At 52.0% G+C, this 14903-nt stretch overlaps 1 long non-coding RNA gene across 2 annotated transcripts in view, besides 5 other annotated features; it reads right to left on the reverse strand.

Moving 5' to 3' along the window:
• Positions 1 to 14903, reverse strand: part of LOC105373390 (uncharacterized) — a 133531-nt gene that overhangs the window by 73632 nt on the left and 44996 nt on the right. The gene's annotated exons all lie outside the window — the stretch shown is intronic.
• Positions 6665 to 7269: an enhancer, noted in NCBI's record as "OCT4-NANOG-H3K27ac-H3K4me1 hESC enhancer chr2:2791409-2792013 (GRCh37/hg19 assembly coordinates)". NCBI's record gives its function as "activates a minimal SCP1, AML or CMV promoter by ChIP-STARR-seq in naive and primed H9 embryonic stem cells {active_cell/tissue: H9 hESC(naive and primed)}" and the evidence as "EXISTENCE:reporter gene assay evidence [ECO:0000049][PMID:30033119]".
• Positions 7270 to 7874: an enhancer, noted in NCBI's record as "OCT4-NANOG-H3K27ac-H3K4me1 hESC enhancer chr2:2792014-2792618 (GRCh37/hg19 assembly coordinates)". NCBI's record gives its function as "activates a minimal SCP1, AML or CMV promoter by ChIP-STARR-seq in naive H9 embryonic stem cells {active_cell/tissue: H9 hESC(naive)}" and the evidence as "EXISTENCE:reporter gene assay evidence [ECO:0000049][PMID:30033119]".
• Positions 7875 to 8479: an enhancer, noted in NCBI's record as "NANOG-H3K27ac-H3K4me1 hESC enhancer chr2:2792619-2793223 (GRCh37/hg19 assembly coordinates)". NCBI's record gives its function as "activates a minimal SCP1, AML or CMV promoter by ChIP-STARR-seq in naive H9 embryonic stem cells {active_cell/tissue: H9 hESC(naive)}" and the evidence as "EXISTENCE:reporter gene assay evidence [ECO:0000049][PMID:30033119]".
• Positions 11327 to 12046: an enhancer, noted in NCBI's record as "H3K27ac-H3K4me1 hESC enhancer chr2:2796071-2796790 (GRCh37/hg19 assembly coordinates)". NCBI's record gives its function as "activates a minimal SCP1, AML or CMV promoter by ChIP-STARR-seq in naive H9 embryonic stem cells {active_cell/tissue: H9 hESC(naive)}" and the evidence as "EXISTENCE:reporter gene assay evidence [ECO:0000049][PMID:30033119]".
• Positions 12047 to 12765: an enhancer, noted in NCBI's record as "H3K27ac-H3K4me1 hESC enhancer chr2:2796791-2797509 (GRCh37/hg19 assembly coordinates)". NCBI's record gives its function as "activates a minimal SCP1, AML or CMV promoter by ChIP-STARR-seq in naive H9 embryonic stem cells {active_cell/tissue: H9 hESC(naive)}" and the evidence as "EXISTENCE:reporter gene assay evidence [ECO:0000049][PMID:30033119]".

The following is a 14903-nucleotide window of genomic DNA, read 5'->3' on the forward strand; positions in this document are numbered from 1 at the left end:
ACACTCTACACCCTCTCGGGATTCATGTCCTACACCCTCCTGGGCTTCACACCCTGCACCTTCAGAGTTCACACCCAACACCTCCCCAAGATTCACACCCTGCGCCCTCCCAGGCTTTACACTCTACACCCTCCTGGGATTCATGCCCTACACCCTCCCAGGCTTCACACCCTGCACCCTCCCCCACCTTCACACTCTGCACACTCCCAGGCCTCACACCCGACACCCTCCCATGTTTCACACATGCACTCTCCCAGGCTTCACACCCAGCACCTCCCCAGGCTTTATACCCTGAACCCTCCCAGACTTTACCCCCTGCACTCTCCCAGGCTTCATACCTGGCACCATCCCAGGTGTCACACCTATACCCTTCCAGGCTTCACACCCTGCACCCTCCCAGGCTTCACACTCTGCACCCTCCCTGGCCCCAGGAAGCTTTTCCTGAATGGACCAGGGGGCCTGGTGTCCTGCCAAGCTCTCATACATCTGTGCCCATCTCCAAGGTAGAACCTGCCTAACTCACCTGTCGCCTTAGGAAACACAGGGCTCTCTTTGAGGACTGTGCTCTCTTAGGAGAGGCTGCATCAAAACCCACACCCATCTGTTTATCTTCAGTGCCTGGCAAACCGAAGAACAAATGATGAACATCCCACAAAGATTTGCTGAACTCAGCCTGGAGTAAACAAGAACTCAAAGAAGGTCAAGAACTAGAGCTGTTGCCAAATCTCAATAAGTGCAGCCCACCACAGGGCAGTCACTAATTTTGCGACATTGATTCAGAGCCTGCTATACTCCACCACATAGCTGCTACAAACCACTGCCTGCTCTGGGGGCTGTTATCACATACCCGCCTCCCCAGAGTAGAAACTCTCTGAGATCAACACCTGCCTTACGTATCTCTGCACCTCCAGGCCCCTCCAGTGCCTGGCCTAGAGCACCCGCACGTGCATGCTCACAGAGTCACAGCCACAATGATGGGTGCATCCCAAAGTTGCCCTTTCTCTTTGCATCTTCATGCAGACAAGAGGAGAATTCACTTCCGTCATCAGTGACACTTGGTGTGGGAGCTGCCCTGGGTCCATTAGCAGGATTGACATTCATGCCGCCTCCCTCCCAGGTGACTTGGATCAGGCACTGGCATTTCCCGAGCGGCGACCTCAGGGTTCTAATTGCCGCCACCTTCAACCCACCCCAACTCCATCACAGCCCAGCAGGTGCCATGCTCACAGCTCAGGAGTGACAGCCACGTTTGACATGGAGGTCTGGTAACTTCTCTGCACCGCATTCCACCCATGATTACATAATTAATATCTGACACAGTTCACTCACTGACACACAATCTGCTGCAACTCCAGACGTTACTACTTATGGCTCAATCTTTGCAGGATTCATTAGGTTTGGTTGTTCATAGAATCTGCTTAATTTCCAGCTATGCCCTGTCCTGTTAGAAAAAAATTATAATCTGTAACAATTACACAGTTCAGTTGTTTAATGGAAAGTAGATTTGTCATAATTCTTTTGCGAAAAATGGCTTCACCTCCAGAGAATGCATTGCATTCCTGCAGTCCCTGCAATGGCCCTGAGGCTCCCACGTCTCCCAGCTGTGAAGGGTCCAGCCTGGCATCGCTCACCACACCCAGTTTCTTCCTCCACCAGGGGAGTCTATCCCTGAACAAGTGCTGGTGGAGCATTTTATATGGAAAGTCACTTATGATGGACATTAAATGAGCTATGTGCAGAAAGGATGCCATGCCTAAGTAGGTTGGAGAGAGATTCAATTTTAAAATGAAATATATGTGTGTGTGTATGTGTGTGTGTGTGTGTGTGTGTGTGTGTGTGTATATATATATATATATATATATATATATATATATATATATATATATATTTAGGGTAACGCTTATCAAAGTTTTACTATGCAAAGTCTCAATATTTGGGACTTCCTGAGAGGGGAGTACAGGGTGCAGTTCTGAGCAAACCTGCCTGTCTCCAGAAGCCCCTCTCCCTTTGCCTTAGGACAGCTGGTGGGACCGGCTCTGGGCATCTCTCAGGATCCGGCACTGAACTCTCTCCACTCACGTTCAGAGGGAGACACAACACATAAGCAACGATGGTGCATCCTCCTCCACCATGGAGCGTTCTTTCAACAAAAAGAAGTTATCTCATTCATTCATTTGTCCACCTGGTACTTCCTGAGCCACTTCTATATGCCCATGGGAGATGTTTTAGGCTGGGTTCTCTGGAGGTTTTCTGAAGCAGAGGTCTGTGTGCAAGCGTTCACCAGGGAAGTGCTTCCTGAGGAAGTCTGTGAGACAGCAGAGGACGCAGTTGGAGGTGGAGAAAGCCAAATGCAGGGTGACCGAGGCAGAGCCCCACGGAGGGTGGCTCCAGCTGAACCAGCCAGACCCTAGCAGGCCAGGCATATGCGGTTCCTCTGAGGCCTGGGATGGGCTCCTGTACCTCTGTAGGAAGGTCTGAAAGCCAGAAGCCAGAAGGAAAATTTAAACTACAAGCACTTGGAGGACCACTGCTCTCAGTGTTCCCAGGGCATGGGATACGGGCTCCCAAGGGTTCTCGGCTCTGCACTGGAGAAGCAGCAGGCCCAGGAGCCCCAGAAGGCCTCTGAGAATGACCTGCAGCCCCTGTAGCAGCTGGGGGACATGCACCATGGTGGGTGCCTTCACCCTGCCCTGCCTGTCTCAGCTGCTCTACTCAGAACCTCGGTTCATCTTCTCACCCCAGTCAACCTTCAAGTTGGCCTTAGCACAGCATCTGGCATAGAGTAAGTGAGTGACCAGGGTTTTGAGGGAATGAATGAATGAATGAATGAATGATGATGGAATGGATAGACAAGTCTATCGTGTTGCACCTGTGGCGAATGCCTTCTATAGCTCCCTACAGGGAGAGGCAACAGAGCCACTTTTCATTGGGAGCAGTCCCTGAAGACAGACTACTAACCAATGACACATCCTCATTCCCCATGTGACCTCGAGCAAGGGCCTTAGCATCTGCGTCTGTTCTCTCACCTGTGAAGGAGCCATTTGATGAGTGACCCCTGGAAAGTACTCAGAAGAGCAGACACTCAGCAGACACCATCATGGCCATCACCTCCCCCCATCCAAAAAGAAACACAGAGCAGCTCTCACAGGCAGCCTCTGAGGCTTTCTGCTGTCACCTTTGGCTCCTATGCCCCCATCCCCTTCCCATACAAAGTGGACTTTCCCAACTGGACAGCTCATGGCTTCTTGGACAAATCCTGGGTGTGCTGACAGCCCTGCCCTCATGCCATACTCTTTCTGTCCTCAATTTTGAATTATTTCTATTCCCTCTCCCTATACAGCCTCCTTCCTAAACTCGGCCTTTCCCAACTAAAACTCATCTGCTCCCCTTCCAGGTCAGCACAGTCTGACCCTCTCCCACGTCACAAATCATATTTGGATGCAATTGTTGTGCTCATCTTCTCTCTAAATCCTCTGTGCCTTCCACCAAGGTACCTCACACATCCCAGACTCAGGAATGGGGCAGGAGCAGGCAGAAGGGGTCTGTGGCTGTACATGGTGTTCAGTGTGGTGATTCCTCAAGGATCTAGAACTAGAAACACCATTTGATCCAGCCATCCCATTACTGGGTATATACCCAGAGGATTATAAATCATGCTGCTATAAAGACACATGCACACGTATGTTTATTGTGGCATTATTCACAGTAGCAAAGACTTGGAACCAACCCAAATGTCCATCAATGATAGACTGGATTAAGAAAATGTGGCACATATACACCATGGAATACTATGCAGCCATATAAAAGGATGAGTTCATGTTCTTTGTAGGGACATGGATGAAGCTGGAAACCATCATTCTCAGCAGACTATCGCAAGGACAAAAAACCAAACACCGCATGTTCCCACTCATAGATGGGAATTGAACAATGAGAACACATGGACACAGGAAGGGGAACATCACACACCGGGGCCTGTTGTGGGGTGGGGGGAGGGGGGGGGATAGCATTAGGAGATATACCTATTGTAAATGATGGGTTAATGGGTGCAGCACACCAACATGGCACATGTATACATATGTAACTAACCTGCACATTGTACACATGTACCCTAGAACTTAAAGTATAATTAAAAAAAGAAAAAATATAAAAATAAAAAAAAGGAAACAAGAAAATGACTTGGGGCTTTGTAAGTTAGGAAGAGAACTTTAGGTCTAATTTAAGGTAAAAATAAAGCCTTCAAGTGCTTTAAGCAGAAAAGCAACATGGCCTGGTTTGTGCTTTTGAGCAGCTTCCAGGCACTAAGGGACAAGGGCTGTGGCAAGACACAGTGAGAAGGAAGAGAGAGAGGAAGTGTCCAGGGGAAGGCTCGGCCAGACGGTGGACACTCCCTAGAGGGCTCAGTCAGACAGTGGCAATGGTGGTTTAGGCAAAGGGTGGCTGTGGAGATGGATAAAAGATGAGACGATGACCTAGAATATTGGCGGCAGGTGTCACAGGAATGGTGGATGCATTTTAACCTGAGAATGACAAGCAGTTTTCAGTTTGCACAGCTGAGAGGATGCTGAGAACTGTTAGAGCTGAGGAAGCATGGAGGGGAGGAAGTTTTGCTTATGTCGGGGAGTGGGAGGATAGATCCACTGAAGTCTGACAGCCACCCATCCACTTTCAGGACAGTGTGAGAGGCGGCATTGCCCGGTGTCTGTGGCTGGGAGCAAACAGCGGCTCCAGGCTCTATTCTGCCCCTCGGTGGGTGACCCTGAGCAACCGCCCAATGTGTGTGCTCGGTGGTCCTGTCTGGGGTGGTGCATCCCATGCAGAAATGACACTCCTCTTCACTCGGTGGCCCTGTCTGGGTGGTGCATCCCATGCAGACGCTCAGTGGCCTTTTCTGGGGCGGTGCATTCCATGCAGATGCTCAGTGGCCCTTTCTGGGGTGATGCATCCCACGCAGATGCTCGGTGGCCCTTTCTGGGGTGGTGCATCCCACGCAGATGCTCGGTGGCCGTGTCTGGGTGGTGCATCCCACGCAGAGATGACACTCCTCTTCCATGAGATCACCATCGGTGCCTGAAACATCACAGTTCAATAGTCGAGTGCAGTATAGGGTGGAGATATTGAGGCAGAGCTGAAGCTTCATAAGTGGGTTAGATTCATCATGTTTTACACAAAGACTTGCACTAGAGACCTTTGATTGGAATGAGAAGGAGGACGTGGCTCCACTAAGGAGAAGCTTCCTATGAGAAGCAATGAGGCATCAGGAAGGGGAAGAAAGCACGGATTGCAGTGGAACTCAACAGCTAAGAAGACAGGGAGGAAAGAGCCATGAAACCATGAGGAGACAGATGAACTCAACAGCTAAGAAGACAGGGAGGAAAGAGCCATGAAACCATGAGGAGACAGATGAACTCAACAGCTAAGAAGACAGGGAGGAAAGAGCCATGAAACCATGAGGAGACAGATGAACTCAACAGCTAAGAAGACAGGGAGGAAAGAGCCATGAAACCATGAGGAGACGGACTCATTCAGCAAATGGCATGGAGAGAATATCTAAATGGGAAAAAGCCAAATTACAGTTGTACTTCATACCAAAAATTAAATTCCAATAAATTAAATAGAAAAATATAGAAACAAAATACGGCCGGGCGCAGTGGCTCATGCCTGTAATCCCAGCACTTTGGGAGGCCAAGAAGGGCAGATCACTTGAGGTCAGCAGTTCTAGACCAGCCTGGCCAACATGGCGAAACCCCATCTCTACTAAAAATATAAAAATTAGCCAGGCATGGTGGCATGCATCTGTAGTTCCAGCTACTTGGGAGGCTGAGGCAGGAGAATTGCTTGAACGCCTGAGGAGGAGGCTGCAGTGAGCCGAGATCATGCCACTGCACTCCAGCCTGGGCAACAGAGCAAGGCTCCATCTCAAAATAAATAAATAAATAAATAAAAATGCCAGTAGTTTCCGTGTGTTTCCTAAACAGCCTATAAGATAGAGAGTGAGGTAAGAGGGTAGAGTTCAGGGATCAGACAAATTTAGGTTGAATTCTAGGACCCACCATACATGACATTAGACAAGTTACTTAACCTCTTCAGGTCTTGGTTTTCCTGTAAAAATAAAAAGAAGAAATTCCATGAAGACTAAATTCAACAGTGCGCCCATCACATCCAGCCTAGCAGATGACAAGTACTGCTTTATGTGAGCCAGTTTACCGTAGTCATGTGCAGTTTATAAAAATTTTCAATAATAGCAAAAAATGCATTTTTTTTCACTGGCAACCCTTAGGCCTTCAAAACATTCTGCTTCTCAGAATGTTCATTGAATTGCAGTCAACCAAAATTCTTCTGTGCACCCCAGTTTCACTTCAGGATCCCGCAGAAGCAGGCCCCCTCATGAGGAGGGTGCTTTGGGGGCCTGCATGGTGGGTGTACACAGCAGACATGAGCTCTGAGTTCCAATCCCGGCTCAGCATGAACACGGAGGATGTCCCAGGATGCACAGCTTGGTCACAGTGATAAGAGCCAGCCTTGACGATGGCCCGTGGCCGGCCCCATGCACCACCGGGATTTACAGAGACACAAAGCTGATCCCTATCACAGCCCAAGATCTCTGTTTTGCAGATGAGGAAGCCGAGATTAAATTAGGTGACCTGTGCAGAGTCGGAATTCAGGATGTGGCAGAGGTGAGGCTTGAGTCGGCGAGGTCGGCCAGGCTCTGCAAGGAGTTCTCTTTGGTGTGACACATTCAGCTTTCATCCATTTGTGGAACTCACACTCTGGCAGGCACAGTGCCAGACGATGTGGCAGCGCCCTCACAGAGCCCGGCTTCCAGCAAGAGACAGGCAGCTCGGCCAGGCCAGCGCCATCCGGACGTTTGATAAGTATCAATTGACAGTCAGGGAATGCTCAGCAGAAAGAATTCAAACAGAATAGCAAGGTTCTGGGAAGACTTCCTTTCTAAGAGGATGTTTTTGAAAACCTAAGAGTCTTTAGCAAATTGAATAGTGCATGCAAAGGGCCCTTGAAACCATATGCTTTCCTCAGCCGCCTCAGGTGCAGAACACAAGAACACAGGCCTCCAAGGTGTGTGCCTGACTCTAGGACCAAGCTGAAAATAAAATGGATCAAAAGTCCACTCAGGGTGAATGTGAGATCTCTCCTCTCATGACTCTTACCGAGCAGTTGTCAAGGGCTGAAAAGAAAAACTCCACAAGCACTTAATTCCCCAGTGGGAGCCCTAGGGACACACTGCAGGTGGCAATGAGAACAGGCCTGCCTAGGCCCTCCTGCTGCCACCCTAACCCTTTAAATTAGAAAGACAAAGCTTGTAATCTGAGACGAAAGGCGATTGCCCCAGCCTCTGAGGCTCTAGAATACTCAGACTTGCAGGCCAGCATCAGCATCTAGGCTGTCACCCTCAGGCAGATTTCTGAGTCTCCATGTGAAGCAGGAAGCCACAGGGAGGTGGCTCACAGGTCCCCACTGAGGCCCCAAATGATGACCTGTGCCTTAATCTGTTTTCCAAATTCCATTTGTGGGAGTTCCAGTGAGCAACTCTCTTTCCTGTGGGGGTAACTTATCAGCCTCTCATCCTCCTGTGGTAGCTCCAGGGTTATGGAGCAGCCTCCCGCTGCTGACCTGAACTGCCCACATAATCTCCCAACAGGAGTGACCTTATTTAGGTGATAGAACCTTATAACGTAAATCACTGGAGGATGGCCTATATGAACATGACAGATAGCATATTTTCTGTCAACTACACCATGAACCAGTTTTCCACCCATTTTTTTTTTAGATCAGAAATAAATGGAAAAGTGGAAGATCTTGTAAGATATTCCTGTAAGTGGTGACTGAGCGTCTACTCCACGGGAAGCACAGTGACTCCTGAGTGCCGTCTGAGTGTGGAGGAGCTCGTGCTCTACAGGAAAAGGAAAACTCAGGGCAGAACCAACACGGTGCAGGGCAGGGCACTCCCACGGTCTGCTGAGAGGCCCAGCGCAACCCTGAATTGAGAGGAGGATGAGAAATCTCATTCCTGACCAGAGAATCAGGACAGGCCCGCAGCAGGCACTCACGGCCTTATGACAGCTGACCTCTGGAATTACGAGAACTCAACTGAATTTCACTAAAAGTTTCACCTCTGGAAGAGTTCGTCGATCCCCGGCCAGTTAATGAGGAACACGCCCTTACATTTGTAGATGTCTAAAGAAAATGTGCTTGGGAAACAACTCACATCAGAAACCCAAATCTCATGAAAATGCACGAGGCTTCTTGTTGACGGTCCCCATAGGAAACAAATGCTCTTTTCACCGAACAACTCGTTTCCGGGCTGCCACCACATTGTCACGCTCTTGGACTAGCTCACCCCGATGGGGTGCTGTGCTGCAAGGTAGGGGCTGGGAGTCTTATCAGGAGGTGATGTTCCAGCTGGTCTGGAAGCCTGAATCAGACAGGAAGCATAGAACATCTCTCAATGGCATGAGGCAGAGGTGGCTGCACCTGCAGGTACAGCCGGAAAGGTAGGGCTTGAGTGTTCCAGGTTCTACAACTAGCACACCCCCATGGAAGCAAAGAATAAACAATGATCTTCTGGTCTGAATATAACGACCTTGCGCCTGGGTTACCGAGACTATGCCAAGTTCCTGCTGGTGCTCACAGGTGGGAAAGGGATCTGCACTGGGACAGGTATCCTAAGAGCGACTTGGGAGGAATGAAAATGACCCAGAGAGGTGCAGTGTGGAAGAACCATGAGCATGGGTTTTCAGGAGGCTCACTGGTTCCTCATGCTTCCAGAGGAGGAAGCATTTGTTCTGTGGCATTTATGGGCCCAGGGAAGGACATGGATCATTTCCACCCAGAGCACAGCTGGCAGGAGCCTTTCCCTTTCCCGGGTTTGGGTACAAAGAGGCTCCTCCTTGCCTAGAGGAACCATCTTCTAAGCCCCAACTCCTCTCCTCCACATGCTCGCAGCAGGCCTCCTCTTCACCCTGTGGGTGCCCAGCCGCCACCCCTGGGGCTCCCTCGAAGAGCCCTGTCTTTCCTCTCTCTTCTCACTGTGACCAAGCATGACCCGACCATGAATTTCTAGCCAAACTCGCCTGCTCCTGAAGACTTTGCTGGCAAAAGCAGCCCGCAGGATTTGCTCTGCCCAGAACCTGGAACACTCAAGCCCTGCCTTTCTGGCTGTACCTGCAGGTGCAGCCACCTCTGCCTCATGCCATTGAGAGATGTTCTATGCTTCCTGTCTGATTCAGGCTTCCAGACCAGCTGGAACATCATCTCCTGATAAGACTCCCAGCCCCTACCCGGCAGCACAGTGCCCCATCCTTCCCCCTTCCTGGATTCTGCAGCTCGGCTCTCCTATGTTGCATCTCACACCATGAGTCACAACATAACGTGACCCACATGTATGCATCTCCTGGAGCACAGGGAGCTTGTCCTGTTCTCTGGGGGCTGCCCTGTGGTCCAGCAGGTGCCTGACACACAATAGATGCTCAGTAAATGTTAACGCCCCCATGCAGATGGAAGAGGCTTTGCATTTAAGAAGCAAGTCACGATCCACACAACTTAGTTAGAAGCCCTGTGTGTTACGGGGGACTGAAATGCACCATCTGAGGTTCACAGCAGGATCCATGAGCAGGAAGTACCTGCAGCTCAGGCCTGTGAGGGAAGAGCCATGCCTCCCACAGGGCTTCTCTAAGAAACACACAACCGTGAGCCGAGCCCATCCCACAAACCTGGTGTTTCATAAACCCAAATGAGATCGAGTCGTCAGCATGTGGTTTGTTGGAGTCACGGCGACCAGAAGAACACTCATCTCTCAACAGTCATGAAGATTTTCTCCAAACTCACAAAGTCCCAAAGTTTTTCTATATGGCCATGGACACCACTTAAAGTCTCTGACATTTTCTACCTAAAAGATAAGATTAAGAGGAGATGGAGGGGTGGACCGCATTACCACGTAGCCAGTTCCACACTGCCTTGCTCTGCCTATGACAGAGGAACACTTCCCCGCACCGGGGATCCTGAGCTCAGCAGTGGCTGTGCTTGGGCAGATGGGACCGAAGTGAATACACTCCAGACCACATCCCAGCAGTGGTGTGGCTGAGCCTCTTGTCCAGTGCTCCCCCATGGAAAACACACACGGGACTGACCCCAGTCCAGAGCAGAGGCGCCAGAACCTGCACAAACCCCAAATGGTGCTAGATCCGTGTTGGGCAGCTCCAGGTGTGAGCATCACCACGATGGAGCAGGGCACAGGGAGAGCTCATGTTTGGATCCGTGTTGGGCAGCTCCCAGGTGTGAGCGTCACCACGATGGAGCAGGGCACAGGGAGATCTCATGTTTGGGATAAGGCAGTGAATCCGGAGGAGGCCTGCAGAGCAGACATAAGGCATCGCATCGAGGGGCAGGCATGCTGTGGCTCACTGACTTGCAGTAATGCCCCTGGCTGCGGAACCTCCCAGAAGCGCAGCCGTGTGGACACTGCAGACCTAGGTGCAAGCAATCATCTTTGCAACGGCGAGAGTAAATGCTGACAATTAAGTTCATGTGTTTTACCAAACAGGATCCAAGATAAGTAACTCATCTCAAAGACCAGGATCTATTCATCTGAGAGCCCTGTCTCTGACCATTAGACCAACTGGCCCCTTCATGCTTCCAGAAGACGGTGCAGTCAGAGACGCCATTCTCAGGCCCCGTGTAGGTGGCCGAGTCTGTCTGCCCCACTCTTCTCTTCCCTTCTCCTGCAAGGGCTGTGAGCAGCAGGACCTAGTCATCCCGCTGCACTTTGCAGAGCGCTCCCCCTCCAGGTGAGGAACACAGGGGGGGGGACACACCCTCAGCATCAGGCTCACACTCGGCGGGGCTCCTGAGTCCATCCCCAGGAGTGGACAGGTGGTATGGGAGGGGGCTCCAGAGGCCAGCAGCCTCGGACTCTCAGATACACCCCGTGAGGCCAGGGTGTGACCAGCCTCGCTGAGGCTGGCCAGCCACGTTAGACGCCACCACGCAGCATCTTTCTCTGTTACGCTTTGACACACGATGTGCTGATTGGACTCCAAACAACAGCCAATTTGGAATGGAAACACTCTTGTATTTTTAAATGAAATAATATTAATTTGGACAGTGAGCGTATGATCAGAATTCCTTCTAAATATTTACATTGAGTGCCTGGGGAAGAAAGAGACCTGGTTAATTGTAATTAATCATGGATAATTCATTACTTACAGTATCCAGCATGGCTGGGGCTCTGCTAGGCTCAGGATCCTAAAAGCCTGCAGACTCCAAGCTGAACCCAATGTAGTGAAGGTGGCATTGCCCTGGGTGCTGCCTGACAATGACAAAAAGGAAGCAGGGGTGGGCACAGCCTCCCATGCCCGTCACCCTCCTGGGTGTTATTCATTCTGAGATATCGCAGGGTCCAGGACCCAGAGGGGAGCAGCGGGTCAGGACACAGTTGCCAGGATGCCCCTGGAGACCTCTCCTCATGCCGAGTCCCTGGAAGGGAGGCTTCTCCCAGGACCTCCATCCTCCCTGCCCCTGCTTGAGGAGCTGGGGCAGAAACGGGGCTGAGCATCCTCATATTCCATGCAGAGGAATCTAATTTACTAATGCAGGAGTGGCTGGCCTGGAAGGAAGAGCACAGTGGCTGGAAGGATAGGGCCTGGCTGGACATGGAGAGCGGAACTGACAGGGGCGGAGGAAGGAAACCTGCATCCACTCAACAGGAGGACGCAGGCCACCCTCCATGGGGAAGAGCCTCAGGGATCAGCACCCACTCAGGCAGGAGGATGCAGGCCACCCTCCATGGGGAAGAGCCTCAGGGATCAGCAGCCACTCAGGCCGAAGGATGCAGGCCACCCTCCATGGGGAAGAGCCTCAGGGATCAGCAGCCACTCAGGCCGAAGGATGCAGGCCACCCTCCATGGGGAAGAGCCTCAGGGATCAGCAGCCACTCAGGCAGGAGGATGCAGGCCACCCTCCATGGGGAAGAGCCTCAGGGATCAGCAGCCACTCAGGCCGAAGGATGCAGGCCACCCTCCATGGGGAAGAGCCTCAGGGATCAGCAGCCACTCAGGCCGAAGGATGCAGGCCACCCTCCATGGGGGAGAGCCTCACGGATCAGCACCCACTCAGGCAGGAGGATGCAGGCCACCCTCCATGGGGGAGAGCCTCAGGGATCAGCAGCCACTCAGGCAGGAGGATGCAGGCCACCCTCCACAGGGGGGAGCGTCAGGGATCAGGGGGTGCCCAGAGAAGTCTGGGAGGAGGAGGGAAACATGGCTGTTGCCTCGGGCATGGGGAACAATGGTTGGAAGGTGGAAGACAGAGCTTGTTTCAGGGAATGCACTCAAAAACCTGGAAGGCACACAAAAACCTTTCCTCCTCCCTGTCCTCGCTCAGCCGTGTTCCTGCTGCCCTCCTGGCACCCGTAGCACCTGCGACCTCTATCCGTCCTCCCATGGCTGCTGTGCTTAGAACGGCACCACCTCCTGCCTGCAAAACCATGACAGCCCTCGGACAGCTCCCAGCTCCAGCATCTCCTCCCTCAGTCCCGCTGTGTCACTGCCACTCATCCAGAGTGCAAATCTGATCACCGCTCGCTTTAAACACTCTTCAGTAACTTCCCATTTTCTTTCATAAATACGGCAGATTCCCAGCCAGGCTCACCGTGGAAGCCCCCTGGCTTTGCGCCTCTCCCCGGCTTGAAGGCCTCGGTTCTTGTCACTAGGACCAACTCCTGGCCGCTCACTGAAGCACACCTCATACACAGCCATCCCCGTGATCGGCAGATTTTGTTCCTACGAATCTACCTACTTGCTAAAATCCACTTGTAGCCTCCACATGAGGTGCACTTGCAGCCATCTGTGGACGCGAACAGAGCAGGATTAATACTTGAGTCGCCCGAGGCACAGTTTCTGCGCTCATCCTTACTTCAGCTCTCAGACTGTAAACAAGGGTTCTTTTCGAGGTACAGTTAATGTTGTGTTTCTTTCGCATTTCTGTGGGTGATTTCACAGTTTAAAATGGCCCCCAGGTGTGGTCTCTAGTGCTGTCTAGGGATCCTGAGGGCAAGAGGCCATGAGCCATGACGTGCCTCATGCAGAAAATATGGTTAGAGAAACCATGTGCAGGCATGAGACACGGTGCTGCCGGCCAGGGCTGCCCCACTGATGAGTGAAGAACACGTATTATGTAGGTGTCTTTACACAGAAACACACATCACACGATGCCAGGTGCTGGTCATTGATGAAATTGTTGTGACCAGAATCTTGCAGGAATCTAACTGTGAGGGTTAATTTTCTGTGTCAAGTTGGCTGAGCCACGGCACCCAGATATTTGGTCAAACATGACTCTGAGTGTTTCTTTGAGGGTGTTCCCGGATGCAATTAACATTTAAGTCAGCAGACTCTGAGTAAAAGCAGACCCCTCCCTGCCATGCGTGGGCCTCATCCAGGCTGCTGAAGGCCTAAAAGAACAAGGACAGAGGCCCCGGAGCTGGGGGTTTCCCTGCAGATGCTCTCTGCCCTGAACCAAAGCACCAGCTCTTCCACCAGCCCACCCTGGGCACTTTGGACTTGCCAGCCCCCATAATCACATAAGCCAATTTCTTAAAATCTCTCACTGTCTGTACACACACACACACACACACACACACACACACACACACCCCTTTGTTTCTGCTTCTCTGGAGAATGCTGACTGATAAACTTCCTGTATTTCCCCTGAGAGCAATGGTTCAGAATTCACTAATACAGTGTTTGTGGCGACTTTACAGAACAGAGCCTCCTCGAGTGACAGGAACAGCTGCCTTAGACTCCCAAGATGACCAGAAGTGCTGCCTTGGATTCCCTAGACTGACTAGAAGTGCGCCTTGGATTCCCTAGACTGACCAGAAGGGCTGCCTTGCACTCCCTCGAGTGACATGAATGGCTGTTTTGCACTCCCTCAGTGACCGGAAGGGCTGCCTTGGACTCTCTTGAGTGGCTGGAAGGGCTGCCTTGGATTCCCTAGAGTGACCAGAGGGCTGCCTTGCCCTCCCTTGAGTGACCGGAAGGGCTGCCTTGTGCTCCCTCAGTGACCGGAAGGGCTGCCTTGCGATCCCGTCTAAGTGCCCTTCCCACCTGCCACTAGGACTCATGTCCTGAGGTTTTTCTGAGCCCATCTGCACCTCCCAGCACATGAAGGCATCTCTGCCTCCCTAGACCTCTCCCTTGAGCCCCACAGTACCTGGTCTCACCCCTCTTGTCACACCTGGTGCAGAAATGACATGCAGTGTTTGTGGAGTTGCCCCCTTAACTTTGGCATAGGGCTAGCTGCATTCCTGGCACACAGGAGATGCCAGATGCCATTTAACATGGGAGCCATCTGATGAGCGCTCCCACTTGGGCAGGCAAGGGCTCCAGCCATGGAATCACAGCCTCTTCCACGGGCAATGGAGACACAGTCCGTGGTGCAGGTGTGCGTGGAGGATACCCAGAGGTCCTCCTACATCACCTGATGCCCCACGATGGTGCGGGCAGCTCCTGACAACCCGTGATGGTGCGGGCGGCTCCTGACACCCCGGGATGGTGCAGGCGGCTCCTGACACCCCGGGATGGTGCGGGCGGCTCCTGACACCCCGGGATGGTGCGGGCGGCTCCTGACACCCTGGGATGGTGTGGGCAGCTCCTGCACTCCCTCTTTTCCTCTCGAGGACTTAATGGCTACAGCGAAAGCAGAGGCCTGCTGTGGGGAGCGGGGGGAGCCGGGCAGCGCAGTGGCCTCCCAGGAGCACTTGGCTCCTCCAGTTGGTAGGGTCTGAAGGAGAGGGGCTCAGGGAAGCTCTGTTTCTGTGGGCTCTGCACCAGAAGACATTTAAAACTGATCAGTGTACGCGCGAGAGTAGCCAAAGACTCAGCGCATTAAGG

The sequence above is a fragment of the Homo sapiens genome, chromosome 2 (genome assembly GCF_000001405.40).
Source record: "Homo sapiens chromosome 2, GRCh38.p14 Primary Assembly".
NCBI classification, from domain to species: domain Eukaryota; kingdom Metazoa; phylum Chordata; class Mammalia; order Primates; family Hominidae; genus Homo; species Homo sapiens.